The 16,203-nt window shown below is 32.2% G+C and overlaps 9 annotated features.

Annotated features, from left to right (window-relative positions):
- Positions 1,316 to 1,460: an enhancer, noted in NCBI's record as "145 bp 9:12675284 sequence used in MPRA reporter constructs". NCBI's record gives its function as "activates a minimal TATA-containing promoter with rs10960752 allelic activity by MPRAs in C283T melanocytes and UACC903 melanoma cells {active_cell/tissue: C283T | UACC903}" and the evidence as "EXISTENCE:reporter gene assay evidence [ECO:0000049][PMID:36423637]".
- Positions 1,316 to 1,480: a biological region, named in NCBI's record as "melanoma risk locus-associated MPRA allelic enhancers 9:12675264 and 9:12675284".
- Positions 1,336 to 1,480: an enhancer, noted in NCBI's record as "145 bp 9:12675264 sequence used in MPRA reporter constructs". NCBI's record gives its function as "activates a minimal TATA-containing promoter with rs10960751 allelic activity by MPRAs in C283T melanocytes and UACC903 melanoma cells {active_cell/tissue: C283T | UACC903}" and the evidence as "EXISTENCE:reporter gene assay evidence [ECO:0000049][PMID:36423637]".
- Position 1,388: a transcriptional cis regulatory region, noted in NCBI's record as "rs10960752 or 9:12675284 MPRA-significant variant associated with a GWAS melanoma risk locus at 9p23". NCBI's record gives its function as "allelic transcriptional activity by MPRAs in C283T melanocytes and UACC903 melanoma cells {active_cell/tissue: C283T | UACC903}" and the evidence as "EXISTENCE:reporter gene assay evidence [ECO:0000049][PMID:36423637]".
- Position 1,408: a transcriptional cis regulatory region, noted in NCBI's record as "rs10960751 or 9:12675264 MPRA-significant variant associated with a GWAS melanoma risk locus at 9p23". NCBI's record gives its function as "allelic transcriptional activity by MPRAs in C283T melanocytes and UACC903 melanoma cells {active_cell/tissue: C283T | UACC903}" and the evidence as "EXISTENCE:reporter gene assay evidence [ECO:0000049][PMID:36423637]".
- Positions 5,034 to 5,178: an enhancer, noted in NCBI's record as "145 bp 9:12671566 sequence used in MPRA reporter constructs". NCBI's record gives its function as "activates a minimal TATA-containing promoter with rs10960749 allelic activity by MPRAs in C283T melanocytes {active_cell/tissue: C283T}" and the evidence as "EXISTENCE:reporter gene assay evidence [ECO:0000049][PMID:36423637]".
- Position 5,106: a transcriptional cis regulatory region, noted in NCBI's record as "rs10960749 or 9:12671566 MPRA-significant variant associated with a GWAS melanoma risk locus at 9p23". NCBI's record gives its function as "allelic transcriptional activity by MPRAs in C283T melanocytes {active_cell/tissue: C283T}" and the evidence as "EXISTENCE:reporter gene assay evidence [ECO:0000049][PMID:36423637]".
- Positions 16,059 to 16,203: an enhancer, noted in NCBI's record as "145 bp 9:12660541 sequence used in MPRA reporter constructs". NCBI's record gives its function as "activates a minimal TATA-containing promoter with rs1575693 allelic activity by MPRAs in C283T melanocytes {active_cell/tissue: C283T}" and the evidence as "EXISTENCE:reporter gene assay evidence [ECO:0000049][PMID:36423637]".
- Position 16,131: a transcriptional cis regulatory region, noted in NCBI's record as "rs1575693 or 9:12660541 MPRA-significant variant associated with a GWAS melanoma risk locus at 9p23". NCBI's record gives its function as "allelic transcriptional activity by MPRAs in C283T melanocytes {active_cell/tissue: C283T}" and the evidence as "EXISTENCE:reporter gene assay evidence [ECO:0000049][PMID:36423637]".

Below are 16,203 nucleotides of genomic sequence, written 5' to 3'. Positions count from 1 at the left end.
CATTCTTCAAATGTGTTCTTCCCAGCAAAGAATAATATGGGAATTCCAGCATCATTCTTCTATAGCATATTTTTCAACTAACCTAAAGCCTAAGCTTGTGTTGTATTTTTTGACAGCTTCCTCATCCATTGAGATTATGGTAAATTTAATCCTTAATTCTTTACTCATGCAGTTGATTAGAGAGATCTCTTGTATCAACTTGTTTTACCTTATATTTCTGATTTTGGTGTTTGATTATTCCCTTTTATATTTTAGTTGCTAAATGTTGTCAATTTTTATAGCATGATGAGGTGCCTTATTATTCTAATCTATTAATTTCCTGCTATTTATATCCAGCTCTGTGATACCTGTGAATTTGATTTGCATGCCACTATCTCTTTATTCGAAAATTTGACATAATTTTAATAGCTAAAGTTAGAGCATTTTACAGAATTTCTTATCTATATGGACATTGTTTGCTTAATGCCAACTCATTAAATAATCTATCAACCCACTGAAAAACCACTTAACTAATTCAGCACTCATTATTTTAGCTATTACGAGACAAAATCATGAGTATCAAAATGACTTATTCAAAATTGGTCACACAATGCTTAACATTTTTACTATAAAGATGTAGAGATTAAAATAAGGAATTGTTCAGAAACATTAAAATGTTTCTGAAAATTGTGCACATGAGAAATTGTATGACAGATGAATACAATTTAACTAAAAAATAATGATTCAGATTATGACTGTAGTTTCTTTTTTAAAAAAAGATAGAATACACTGCCCTTAATGATATTAGTACTTGATTAGAAACATTGCCACTGATGCCAAGGAAGAATAAAAATTAATATAACAACATTTATTGAGCACTCATCATGGGCTGGGTACTGTGAAAGTGCTTATAAATGTTATTTAATTTCCTCACAACTCTATGAAGGTAGTCTTTTTTACTATTGTTATTTTCCATATGAATAAACTCATAGAGATTTTAAATGAATTAGTTATGTAAAATATATATCTATATAAATGCAGGCAAATACATAAACTTGAAGTCTTATTCAGGTCCTTAATGAGATCTGCAGTGCCAATATCTTCTAACTACAAATTGTAGTATGTTGCACAGGGGTCAGATCTCAGAGAACATCTAATCCAGCTGAACCTCTTTACGTATAAAGAAACTGAGGTTCAAAAGACATAAAAGGAATTAATCATGTTGACCAAGTTAGAGAAGTTCCAATGTAAGAAAATTAAAACTATTCTACTTTTTAAGAATTGGAGAAAATGCCAAAGAAATATATACGAACGAAAATAACTGAATGAATTCCACAAATGCAGTTCTCATGGATGCTTGATAACTTAGCATTGTTCATTGAGCCAAGTGACATCAGTCATGTACGTACGCATATGTACGAGCAACCCATGACTTTCGATACAAAGAAGGCAGTATTTTCCTTTCCTCAGAAGTTTGAAAGTCACCAGTTTAAACTTTGAAAATGTATTCTCATAAATTTAAGAGCACCATGTCTCCTCTTTTCTAATTAAGTTTTTTATGCCATAGCCAGGCACGCAATCAGAGCCTATCCCATGAATAGTTACTTAAGACTTAAAGTCACTAAGTTTTTTATCCTCCACATGTGACTTGATCTCATGGACATAGAGAATAGAATGATAAATACCAGAGACTGGGAAGGGTGGGTGGGAGAGACTAGGGATGATCATTAGTTATGGATACAAACATACAGTTAATTAAAAGAAATACGTTTTAATGTTTGACAGCAGACTAGGGTACTATACTTAGCAGCAATATTATGTGTATTTTAAAGTAACTGCAACAGATGACTTGAAATGATGCCAACATTTAAAAATGATAAACACTCAAGGTGATCGATACCCTAGATACCCTGGCTTGATCATTGTATATTCTATGCATGTACCAAACACTCATGTACACCTCATAAATGTGCAAAAGATTACATATCAATAAAACAGGAAAAAAGTGAAAAAAAGGCATCAAGAAGAAAGTAGCACCTTGAAATAAGTGCAAACAGTTGGAGAAACAGATTATTAATTTTAAAGACAATCTGCCAACTGCTTAAATGACATCTCACCTTCACATTGTTCATTAATTATATATTCACAGCCTTAACTTCTGGAGATTAATTAATGCTGAGGAACAACTATAAGATATACAACCCATATTAGTTGTTTAAAACGAATATGGTAAAACCATTATTTTTAAAACTGAAAAATAAATTCACTGTATATAACTCTAGACTGGAAGTGTTACAATGTTGAGGACAGTGACAAAAAAACATAAAATAATAAAAACAAATATTATGTTGGCAGGGAAAGGCAGGTGTAAAATCTACACTGTGTTAATTATGTCTTATTTGATGTCTGTTTGGGTATACATTACAGATAAACCTTCTATTCAATGTAAATAAAAAATTTTACGTAAATATATGACTGCAGTAAGCGTAGTTTTCTGAGACTGAGCTCTGTGCCATACAAAATAATGTTTTGCGTCTCAATTTGATGACAAATCTCAGTACTCTGATAGCCTTTAAGATTCTTAGGAATGTGTAAGAAAAATTAGGTTAATCCTACTCCCAATTCTTTTCTATCTACCATGGAACTAGGCCACATAGAATTTCACTATTATAACAAATAGTTTCAGACATTTTCCATCTATAAATGGCAAGATGCACTTAAGTTCACACAGTAATTAGGATCAATGAAGACCATTAGCATTTTAAATTGCAGTAGATCACAGGAAAATGCTAAATTCTTCCAAATGTATTTCATAAAACTCTGAAAACCCTAATCCCAAAAGCACATACAGATAGCACTTAAAAACAAAACTACAGAACCATCTCATGTAGGAATATAGGTACAAAAACATCCAAAATAAAATAGCAGCAAATAAATTCCAGCAGCATATTGAACTACATAAATTTTAATAAATAATTCATTTAGTATATGCAAATGGGAATTTAATTTTAGGAAAATGATTAATATATTCTATCAATAAGTAAAAGTAAGAGGTATTGTGGAGTTCTTAGTAAATGCTTAAAAAGACATTTAGGAAAATCTAATACCTGTTTTTGGTAAAAATATACTCGAGCTTAGAACAGAATTTTTCTTTAACTTCAGTAAAAACTGCATATTTAAGTCAACAGCTACCACTGTAGTTAAAAGTGAAACATTTCAGTAATTTTTATTAAAATTAAGATGAGGCCAGCATGGATAACCGCTACTATGAACATTGTTTTAGAAGTTCTACCTAATGCAATGAGACAGGAAATAGAAAAAATATATATATATCTACAGTAACATTAGAGATAAGTTTTTGATGCTGCTCCTGCGTTGATGGTAACAATATAGAAGAAAATCAAGTTAGATATTTATTTTGTTTATTATATTGATAAGAAAAGTAGATTAAAATAGTTCATGTAAAATGTAAATATTAAAAAAGAGGTGAATATTTGACATAAATAGGCAAACACTTTTCCAATACAAAGCCTTTTTATTAAAGGGAAATTATTTATAAAAATTACAGACAAAAGCACACAAATTGCACTTACAAATCCATGAGAGATACTATCAATTGACTAATAGGAAAAATTTTTGCAAAGACAGGTTGAATAAATAGAGTTTACCAATGAATTTAAGAAAATCTATGCAATCTCATAATCAATAAAGATAATTTTAGATGTTACTTTTTGACTGCAACATTGGTAAAGCCTTTAAAAAAATAAAGCCTTCAGTGTGTAATGCTGTCCACCTTCATACAGAGCAGACAGGCATGTGAATATTTATAAAATTCTTCTTAAAAGTAATTTTGCAGTATATATCAAAAACATTAAACTGCACATAAAATGACTTATTTCAAGGACACTATATTCAGTTGTCAAGTACATATAACATAATCAAGTATATGTCACATAATTATATAAGACTTCCATTGCATTTTTTCATGCTAGTGATAAATAATAAACATAGTTTCAAAAATAGTGAATTAATTATGGTAAAACCATAAGAGCCACTGCAAGTTCCCTGAGAGCAAGTGACTTCGTCTGCCCTAATCTCAGCTCTATCAGCTGAATCTAGAATGGACAGAGTATGCCTTGAATAACTATTTGTTAAATGAATTGGGAGAATATGAAAATATTAATAATTATGCTTGTGAAGATTGATGTAAGAATAGTTAAAACATCAAGCTACATGAAAACATGATACAGATTTTATATGGAATGAGATCTCAGGTTTTAAAAATCTGTTATTTACATTTAAGTAATAAGGTGTACAGAAAAATAAAAGTATTAAGTATTGAAGTGATAGTTTTACAGTTTCCTAAACCATGTTTCTATTTTATACATTTTCCTGCAATACACATGCATGTTTAGTGCCAGGAAAGTATAAATATAATCGTTCAAAATTTTAGATTTATATTGAGCTAAATATAATAAATACAACACTGTTCAAAAGGAAATACTGTAAGTGCTATGAGGACAGGACCATGTCTCTCTTGTTCACTTTTCTCTCTCAACAACTTAGCACATTGTCTGGCTCGGAGCACATGGTCAATATTCATTCATTAAGTGGATGAACCAGTTTTGATTTTGATTACTGTATTTCATAATAAATTTTTTTAGGCCAGAATACCTTACAAATATCTTATAATGAATTCAATATTATGTTCAACTTAGATCAAGTTAGAAATAACCTAACACTGGTTTTTATTCTCATCCTTTTTTCAAATGTCGTGTGTTTATTCTTTCAAATTTAATTTTGTGTGATTTTGAATGATTCTTAAAACTTGACCTTGCAACAGTTTACAATTAATAAATAGGCTTCTCTATGATGAGTGGTTTTATTCCTTTCATTAGCTCCTTGGGTCTTCCACATTACTTCCTAAAATACTGTTTTTCTATTATAGTAATTATCATCATATGTATCTGTCAATCACTATGATTTCTGTCTACATATTCGTGTATCTAGAATCCTGACTACTCCACATCCTGTGATCTCCTTTATAGAAAGGACTACATGTGATTTTTCTTTTTATTCCAGATTTCAGGACAGTTTCTAACATAAAATAAGCAATTGATGCTTCTCGTTTTCATTATAACACGTAATCCATGTTTTTCTAATCTATCAATAAATTCTATCATTAATTATTCCATTCCTAATATCATACTAATCTTTTCATAAATAGTTTATATATTTCCACTAAAGAGAAGAGATTGATGCATATAAGAAAGTAGGAAACAGTGCTGGAGAGAATAAGTGTTAAATGCTGTGGAATAGACCACAGATGCTATTTACAGATAGGAAGAAATAATGATCAGCCAGTCTTGGGTTCATCAAGGCTAGCATGAGAGTTGAGGTAAATTTGAAGTATAAATTGAAGTCTGCTTGCTGGGGCTCCAAATGTTATTATAGCCTGAGATATTGATCTATTAAAGAAATCAAGTGCTTCGTTCACTTTTGAAAATGAAATATTAATTAGGGTTCACGAATTTCCTTTCAGTGGGTAGATATTAAAGTGTTCATTGCCATCACTAGTGCTGAATTTTAATCAGTATTTTAGAAACGATATGTGATTATCTAAAGAAACATTAGTGGAGTATTTCTTGCAGTGTCCTTTAATAGCAGGCTTGATATGGAAGGCCTCACAGCAAGGACAAAAATTAGGGAGTAAAATATGCTTTTTAAAATGTCTCTACCACATGTGGCGAATTACTCCAGGTAAATGTGATCTGACCTGTTATTGTGTGTACTATGTTTGGTATATTTCCCAACAATTTCACAGTACCTTACATTTTAAACGCCTTTTAAAATACATCTTAATAAATAAGAAATTGATGGAAAAATTTATAATTTTTAACTACGTATGAAATTTTGGGTTGACAATTTATGTTAATATACATAGAAAATTTAATTAACAGCATCACATTCTAAAATCAGAAACTGTTGGTCTTTTCAATGCAAATAATCTAGGTATCATTCAGTAAATTGCAAGTAAACTTGTGACAAATGATGAAACTTTGAGGTCTAGCATTGTTAAACACAGTTTAAATGTTTGAAATATGTAAAAGTCTGTGTATGAAATGTGAATGAACACTTTCCTTTAGACTTCCAGTGATAGGGCTTATGGTAGCTTGTTTTATTTATTTATTTATTATTTTGTCTCCTGTTATTTTATAATGGGTCAGAGGTTCTTTAGGCCTTATATGCATATTTCTGAAAGGGCAGCACACATTGAAAAAAATGTCACTGCATTAATGTGTGCCATTCTTGGCTTACTTGGCCATGCCCACTTGTCACAATTATTGCCAAAGCAATGCTATTGTGTGTCCTCAGATTCTCTGTCCATGCAATTTAGACCAACCCATTTCCATGTTCTTAAGGTAATTATGTCCCTCCAAATGTCAGCTAAATGACTTTGACATTCAAGATTTCTAACAGCTTTTGAATGCCATGTTATCTGTGCTATTTGTAATTCATATTCATGCAAATCCCCAGTCCCCGCCACATTATGCCACCCCATCTGTTGAGAAGGTTCCCACTTTTTCCCCTTTCGAATTGTGGTTGGCTAGAGAGGGTATACCCTTTGAAAATTCTCTTAAGGTATTTGCAGGCTCCATAGATTCTACTGTAGATAGGGTGTTCCAATCGTTGCAAGTGAAGAAACGCATATGTTTGTCAATGTAAAAAATTTTCTTTTTAACTTAGTGCTATCTTTGAAAATATTTTACCATTTTATTTTTTAGGGGGCTAGCAATAACTTTTCTACACAATTTTTTTTTGTTACGTTTATCCTTGTTTTTTTGTAAAACAAAACATTTACTTGTAACTTATTGCAGTAGGGGGAACCATGTGGAAATGTGTCTAAACACAGGATTCACCTTTGCATTCTTACATGACATAAATTGTCTTTGACTTCAAGATACATGTACACACATATCCTAGTCAATGTAAACGTGAGAGTTAGTGGAATTATGTGGATAATTTAAGTAAGTTTTGTGGTTGTTTTAAGATCCTTCTGTGCGATATCTTTCAAGGTTTCCTTTTTAGTTTTTTTAAAAGACTAGATTACTCTTATAAAATATACTGTATAGTATCAAAAAGTAACCTAATAATATAGTATTATGTTAGTAGATGGTTAAGCCATTGGGGATAATCCATTGTCTCACAGAACAATTGTAAGACCCTCAACTCTTTCATCAACTGTATTAATTTATGTTTGATTAGCTGACCTCTCCAGTCACTCATGAGAAAAATAATTTCCCATCATAAAATGCATATATTCCTGCTGCTACTCACTGTAGAAACACACTTTATATAGTTGCTCATGTGAGCAGCAGTTTAATGAGAAATTGATGCTGGTAATTTTGTCTGTCTCTATGAATTACTGTTTAAGGCTCATATTGGAATTATGCCGGTTACTTCTGATTGGAAAATATGAGACCTCTTGTACTCCTCTGTTTCCCCTGCTTTCAATGCCAGTTGCCTATCTCTTTTGGAGGCAACCTTCCCTTGCCCCAGATCCATGTGAAGAAGACTTTTTTTTAATGCTACATAGCCTAGAAGTAATCATAATAGAAACAGATAAGACTCAGTGTTGGCTTGAGAACATTAGTCTTTTACTAGAAAATTCACTCAAAATGATAACATTGTCTAACTGAATTAGACTTCCACCATTCCTGAATTGTTTGGAAGTATTTATTTTTATATATTTTAGCTATTTTTTTAACCATATATATTTTAAAACGTGTGGTGGAAAATCTAGTGTTTTACCCCAGATATTGCATTGCTCACCTTTAATGGAAGCTCAATATTGTTTAAACTTTTGCTGTTTGGCAACTGACCCAGTAGTTCTGTCATATTCTTTCAACTATACCTTAAAGGAAACCCATATTATTGACAGAATACACACCACAGTGCATTTCACATATTTTTGCTACAGAATTATAAAAAGCAGCTTGGCATAAATCCTGCAAATTAAGCACAAAATTAAGTTATATTGCTATAAAGGGAAGGAAAGTAGTATTTATGAAAAATATACTGTTTCTTGGCACTGTAGTAGGTTATATATGTTCATATATTTTAATGTTTAAAAGCCAGTCACAATCCTGAAAGACACAACCCTGATGCCGTAATCCTGAATGTTAAAATCCTGACACATCAAAATTCAAAAAATATAATTCTGAAGAAATAAAAATTTTAAAGATGTATTTATTTACATTTTTAAAAGGAAATTTGTTTGAGAAACATAAAAACATGATGGAACACATCATGGGCCACTTTATACAATAAAATAGGCAATACAACATACATATTTTTGTAAGCGTAAACATCTAGGTAGGCTAACAACAGATAACATAACAGTTATGAGTGGATAAACTATATTAATAAAAAATTGGTCAAAAAGCAAAATGTATAAATGCATATTACTGTGGTTAGTAATTGTGTGCACCCAGCTTTATAACTGCAGTCATCTGAGGTACCTAGAAGGACAACCTAAGTCCTTTGATGAGATTAGTCAAAAACCACAATGGGTCACTACTGCATCACAATTGCACCAGTCACCCTAAGAGCCAAGATCTCAAGGAATTTTGTCTTTCACAAAAAGCACGTCTCTTCATGTACTGAGAGAGTTTCGTTTTTGCGTATGTGCACAATGCTTACACACAAAGTCAGTGTTGTGATAATGCAATTTCATTGTCACATTTGCCAAACATGCATAAAACTAATTATAATTCTCTAAAAGTCTTTAGACAATTTATACCTCCAGTATTGGAAATTATGTGAAGATAACATATAGAGCATAAAGAATTAGGAAAAAAAATGCTGACAATTTAAAATAGTGAAAAAAAAACTAAAAAAAGAAAAACTAAGAAATTAAAAATTTGACATATGAAAATGTGTATTACGGTATATAGATTATGGGCAATTGCATGGAGATAGGCCATACGAGCTGGCAATTTTCATGATCATTAACTGTATTTTGAAGTCTTGCATCCAGATGAATAATTGCTTTTTTTTCTTTTAGAACATCGCTCTGCTTAGAGAATACTTTTGTCAGAGGCATGTGAACCAGAGCAACCCTATCTTGAATAGGAGCTGGGTAAAATAAGGCTAAGACCTGCTGGGCTGCGTTCCCAAGAAGGTTAAGGCATTCTAAGTCACAAGATGAGATAGGAGGTCAGCATAAAATATAGGTCATAAAGATCTTGCTGATAAAACTGGTTGCAGTAAAGAAGCCAGCTAAAACCCACCAAAACCAAGATGACCACGAGAGTGACCCCTAGTCGTCCTCATTGCTACACTCCCACCAGTGCCATAATAGTTTACAGGTGCCATGGCAACGTCAGGAAGTTACCCCACATGGTCTAAAAAGGGGAGGCATGAATAAACCACCCCTTGTTTAGCATACCATCAAGAAATACCCATTAAAAATGGGCAACCAGCAGCCCTTGGGGCTGCTCTGTCTATGAAGTAGCCATTCTTTCATTCCTTTACTTTCTTAATAAACCTGCTTTCACTTTACTCTTTGAACTCACTCTGAATTGTTTCTTGTGTGAGATCCAAGGGCCCTCTCTTGGGGTCTGAATTGGAACCTCTTTTCGGTAACACTTTCACATTCATACACTATGTGGCGCTGCTCTTTTAGCAATTATTCCATGATTCCCCCCACATACCAACATGGGCATTCCTTATTGCATTTTCCCATCTTCTGTGCCATGTTTCTATGTTGTTTGTAGCACAAGGAAATCCATTCTGCATGCATTCATATACAGACCACAAGTTTGGTGAAAACAATACTGGTGATAAAACAGTAACACACTTACATAATTTTCTTCTTATCTTACTATTTGCATAATTATTTTCTAACCGGTCAGTGGCTGCAGGGGCTTCAGGCATATGCAGCTTCAATTCATTAAAAGTTCCTGAAATGTCATCAGCTAGAAGTATTGCCAATGCTGGCAAGGTGAAGTTTTTGTGGTTGCTGTATCATGTGGCCAATCCACTCGTCTGAATTTTCAGCCAAATGCCTTGGGCTGAATGGCAAAGTCGAACTTTATTGGTAACACCTTAAAATTCACTTTTAGAAGCCTTGATTGTATCGAATTCCAGATTTGTCATTATCTAGTTTGGAGATTCAACTGAAAATAATTTTCTTCTACACAAAGGCAATAACAAAGTAATAATTGCGCGTAACATGATGCAAGTACCTTGTGGTGTTATTTTCAGAAATTTAGATGTTAGGGATTTCAGACAAAAGAGTTTTAGACTTTAGGAATTTTTAACATTAGAAATTTTGATGATTCAGGATTTCAACATTTGGAATTATGGCATTTGGGATTGTATCTTTCTGGATTATTATCCAAATCTATAATATGTATTCCTCACAATCACCTTTTACGTTTGTTGTTTATGTAGATTTCATGCCAGGCAATGAGTTAGATACTGAGGATACTATAATAGAATCTTAGGATCTGGTGCTCTGTTCTTCTAAGATAAATAATAAAGAGTTGAAAATATGCATACGATTTAATATTGGCAATACAGGATGAAAGTGCAATTAAGACAGTCTGTGTAATACAGTCATGGCTCAAAGGGATGAATTGTCTTCTTCTACCAACCCATTCACAGGATTTTTAAAATTGAAATACAAAATTTTAGAATAGTAAAATTCCTAGATGTTAAGTGTACAACTTGATGAGTTTTTCCATATCTAGTCACTCATGTAACAACTATGAGAGTAATATACAGAATATTTCCAGCATCCCAAAGGTTCCCACATGTCTGTTTCTAGTTAAAATGCTTTTCCACCTTGAGAGCATTCTGGACCAGGCGTGGTGGCTCACGCTTGTAATCCTAGCACTTCCGGAGGCCGAGGTGGGAGGATTACTTGAGGTCAGGAGTTCAAGACCAGCCTGGCCAACATGGTGAAACCCCACCTCTATAAAAATACAAATACAAATAATAATAATAATAATAGTAATAATAATAATAATAATAAATAGCCGGGTGTGGTGGCGCATGCCTGTAATCCCAGCTGCTTGGGAGGCTGAGGCAGAAGGATCCTTTGAACCTGGGAGGCGGAGGTTGCAATGAGCCGAGATCATGCCGCTTCACTCCAGCCTGGGGAACAGAGCGAGACTATCTCAAAAAAAAAAAAAAAAAAAGAGAGAGAGAGAGAGAGTGTTCTGTACTCTTTTGCCTAACAAACATATATTTTTGAAATTCAACCATGTTTTATTTAGCAGAAGTTGTATTATTTGTTATTGTTACCTAATAAGTAATTACATTTATGAAATCAATGATGTACTTTTTAATGCTAAACGAACTTTACATTTATTATGCATTTTTTGCTTGTGCAAATGGATCTTTTTTATTAATTTTTAATTTTTGTGGGTACATAATAATTGTACATACTTATGGGTTACATGAGATATTTTGGCACAGGTATGCAATATGTAATAATCACATCAGGGTAAATGGTGTATCCATCTTCTCAAGCATTTACCCTTTGTTTACAAATAATCCAATTATACTCTTTTTAAAATGTGGAATCAAATTATTTTAGACTATAATTACCTTGTGTTTGCAAATACTAGGTCTTATTCATTATTTCTAACTATTTTTTGTACCCGTTAACCATTCTCACCCCCTAATTCCCAGCTTCTCACTATTCTTCTCAGCCTCTGGTAACCATCCTTCTACTTTATGTTCATGAGTTCAATTGTTTTGATTTATAGATCCCACGAATAAATGAGAATACGTGATGTTTGTCTTTCTGTGCCTGGCTTATTTCACTTCACATAATGATTCAAGTTCTAACCATGTTGTTGCAAATAACTGGATCACATTCTTTTTAATGGCTAAATAGTACTGCATTGTGTATATGTACCACATTTTCTTTATCCATTCATCTTTTGATGAACACTTAGATTGCTTCAAAATTTTAGGTATTGCAAACAGTGCTGCAACAAACATAGGAGTGAAGACATCTCTTAATATATACTGTTTTTCTTCCTTTGGGGCATATACCTAGCAGTGGAATTGCTGGGTCATATGGTAGCTCAATTTTTAGTTTTTTGAGGACCCTCCAAACTGTTCTCCATAGTGGTTGTACTAACAACGTACAAGTATACAAGTAGCAGTGGTCCCACCAGTAATGTAAAAGGATTCCCTTTTCTCCATATCCTTGCCAGCATTTATCGCCTGACTTTTGGGTAAAAAAATATTATAACAGGAGTGAGATGATATCTCATAGTAGTTTTGATTTGCCTTTCTCTGATGATCAGTGATGTTGAGCACCTTTTTATATGCTGGTTTGCCATTTGGATGTCTTCTTTTGACAAATGTTTATACAAATCTTTTGCCATTTAAAAATCAGATTATTAGATTTTTTTTGCTGTAGAGTTTTTTGAGTTCCTTACATATTCTGGTTATTAATCCCTTGTCAGATGGGGAGCTCCATTCTGTGGGCTGTCTCTTCACTTTGTTGAGTTTTTCCTTTGCTATGCAGAAGGTTTTTAACTTGATGTGTCCATATGTCCATTTTTGCTTTGGTTGCCTGTGCTTGTGAGGTATTAGAAATCATTACGCATTCCAATGTCCTACAGAGTTTCTCCAAAGTTTTCCTTTAGTAGTTTCATAGATTGAGGTCATAGGTTTAAGTCTTTAATTCATTTTGATTTGATTTTTGCATGTGGTGAGTGACAGGGGTCTAGTTTCATTCTTCTGCATATGGATATTAGTTTTCCCAGCACTATTTATTGAAGAGACTGTCCTTTCTCAATGTATATTCTTGGCACTTTTGTCAAAAATCAGCTAACTGTAGACGCATGGATTTATTTCTGGGATCTCAATTCTGTTCCACTGCTGTCTGTTTTTGTGCCAGCACCATACTCTTTTGGTTACTAGAGCTCTGTAGTATAATTTACACTCAAGTAATGAGTGTTCCAGTTTTGTTCATTTTGGGAAGGATAACTTTGGCTATTCTGGGTCTTTTGTGATTCCATCTAAATTTTAAGATTTTTTTTTGTTTCTGTGAAGAATGTTATTAGTATTTTGATAGGGATTGCACTGAATGTCGATTGCACTGTGTAACATGGATGTTTTAACAATATTGATTTTTCCAATCTGTGGACATTGGATACCTTTCAATTTTTGTGTGTGTCTTCTTCTATTTATTGCATCAATGTTTTAGAGATTTTATTGTAGTGAGCTTTCACTTCTTTGGTTACTTTTCAGGCATTTTATTTTATTTGTAGATATTGTAAATGGGATTACTTTCTTAAATTCTTTTTAGGTTGTTGACTGCTGTGATATAGAAATACTTCTGATTTTTGTAGGTTTATTTTGTATCCTGAAACTTTACTGAATTTATCAGTTCTGATAGTCTTTTGGTGAAAACTTTAGATTTTTTCAAATGTAAGATCATATCATTTGCAAAGAAGAATAATTTGACTTTTTCTTTTCAATTTGGATGTTCTTTATTTCTTTCTCTTGTCTGATTACTGTAGCTTGGACATCCAGTACTATGTTGAATAACAGTGATGACAGTGGGCGTTCTTGCCATATTCTAGATCTTAGAAGGAAGGCCATCAGTTTTTACCTATTCAATATGATACTAGCTATGAGTATGTCAGATGGCCTTTATTATGTTATGTTTCTTCTATACCCTGTTTCTTAAGTGTTTTTATCATGAAGGGATATTTAATTTTGTTGAATGATTTTTCAGTGTGAATTGAAATGATCATATTACTTTTGTCCTTCATTCTTTTGATATGATGTATCACATTGATTAAATTGTATATGTCGAATCATCCCGCATCCCTGGGAAAAACCCCACATGGTCATGATGAATAATCTTTTTAATGTGTTGTTTAATTTAATTTGCTAGTATTTTGTTAATATTTGCATCAACATTCATCAGTAATATTGCCCTGTAGTTTTTTGTAATGTGTCTTTGGTTTTGGTATTAGGGTAACAATGGCCTCATAGAAATAGTTTGGAAGTATTCTCTTCTCTATTTTTTGGAATAGTTTGAGTAGAATACATATTAGTTTCTCTTTAAATGTTTGATACAATTCAACAGTAAAGCCATCAGGTTTCAGGCTTTTCTTTAGTAGGAGACTTTTCATTATAGCTTTGATCTCATTACCTTTTTTTAATCTGTTCAAGTTTTGGGTTTTTTCACGGTTCAATATTGATAGATTGAATGTGTCTAGGAATTTATCCATTTCTTTCAGATTTTACAATTCATTTCAATTTAGTTGCTCATGATAGCCACTAATGATCCTTTAAATTTCTGTGGTATTTGTTGTTATGTCTCCCTTTTTTTAATCTCTGATTTTATTTATTCAGGTCTTCTCTCTTTTTTTTTCTTAATTACTCTGGATAATGGTTTGTCAGTTTAATTTATCTTGTCAAAGAAACCAATTTTTTGTTTCATTGATCTTTTGTATTGCTATCTTCATCTCAATTTCATTTATCTTTATAATAATAATCTTTATTATTTATTTTCTTCTACTAATTTTAGTTTCAGTTTGCTCTTGATTTTCTAATTCCTCAAGCTGTATCTCTGGGTTATTTATTCGAATTATTTCTTCTTTTTTGATATATTTTTAGCTATAAGCTAAATATTTCTCTCTTAGTACTGTTTTTACTATATCCCATAGGTTTTGGTCTGTAGTGTTTTCATTATAATTTGTTTCAATAATATTTTCAGTTTCCTTCTTAATTTCTTCATTGACCTACTGGTCATTCATGAGCATATTGTTAAAATCCAAATGTTTGCATAATTTCCAAAATTGCTCTTGTTATTGGTTTCTAGTTTTATTCCACATGATCAGAGAAGATGCTTGATATTATTTCAAATTTTTTGAATATTTTAAGTCTTATTTTGTTACCTAACATATGGTCTATCCTTGAGAATAATCCATGTACTGAGGAGAAGAATATGTATTATGCAACCATTGGGTGAAATGTTCTGTAAATATCTATTAAGTCCATTTGGTCTACAGTACAGATTAAGTCTGATATTTCTATGTTGATTTTCTGTCTAAGGCATCATCCTAATGCTGAAAGTGGGATGTTGAAATATCCAGCTATTATTGTATTGAGGTCTGTCTCTTTCTTTAGCTTTAATAATATTTGTTTTATATATCTAGGTGCTCCGGTGTTGGGCACATATATTTACAATTGTTATATCATCTTGCTGAATTGACCCCTTTATCATTATATAATGACCTTTCTTGTCTCTTCTTACAGTTTTTGTCTTGAAATCTATTTTTTTCTGACATATGTATAGAAATCCTTGCTCTTTTTTGGTTTCCATTGGCATGGAATATCTTTTTCTATTTCTTTTTCAGTCTATGTGTAACTTTATAGGTGAAATGCATTTTTGTAGGCAACAGATCATTGGGTCTTGTTTTTTTTAATTTATTCAGCGACTCTATATATTTTTGTTGGTGAGTTTAGTTCATTTCCATTCAATATTATTATTGATAAGTAAGGACTTTCTCCTGCCATTTTGTTTTCTGGTTGTTTTTCTCATCTTCTCTTCTCTCTGTCCTGCCTTCCCTTTTTTCTTTCAGTGAAGGTGATTTTCTCTGGTGAAATGATTTAATTACTTGGGATTTTGGGGTTTTTTTTGGTTGTTGTTTTTGTGAGTGTGTATCCATTGTATGTTTTTTGATTTGAGAATACCATGAGACTTGCAAATACCATTTTACAAGGCATCATTTTAGGCTGGTAGCTACTTAACACTACTTGCATAACCAAACAAAATAACAAGCAAAAAGAAAGCTAATTAAAAACTTTACACTTTAAATTTGTTCTTCTTCTTTTTAATTTTTTGTTGTTTCTATTTTACTGTGTATGTTTTGAAAAGTTGTTATTATATTTGATTGGTTCATCTTATAGTCTTCCTACTTAGGTAAGAGTAGTTTACACACCACAGTTACAGTGTTATAGTATCCTGTTTTACTGTGTGCTTACTATTACCAATGAATTTTGTACCTACACATGATTTTTTCTTTCTTTTTAACATCCTTTTCTTTCAGATTGAAGAACTACCTTTAGGATTTCTTGTAGAGCAGGCCTGCTGTTGGTGAAATACCTCAGCTTTTGATTGTCTGGGAAGGTCTTTATTTCTCCTTCCTGTTTGAAAGACATTTTCACCAAATACAC

Source organism: Homo sapiens, chromosome 9 (assembly GCF_000001405.40).
Source record: "Homo sapiens chromosome 9, GRCh38.p14 Primary Assembly".
NCBI lineage: Eukaryota > Metazoa > Chordata > Mammalia > Primates > Hominidae > Homo > Homo sapiens.
The sequence above is the reverse complement of the archived record's forward strand: the minus strand, read 5'-3'. Positions and strand labels throughout refer to the sequence as shown.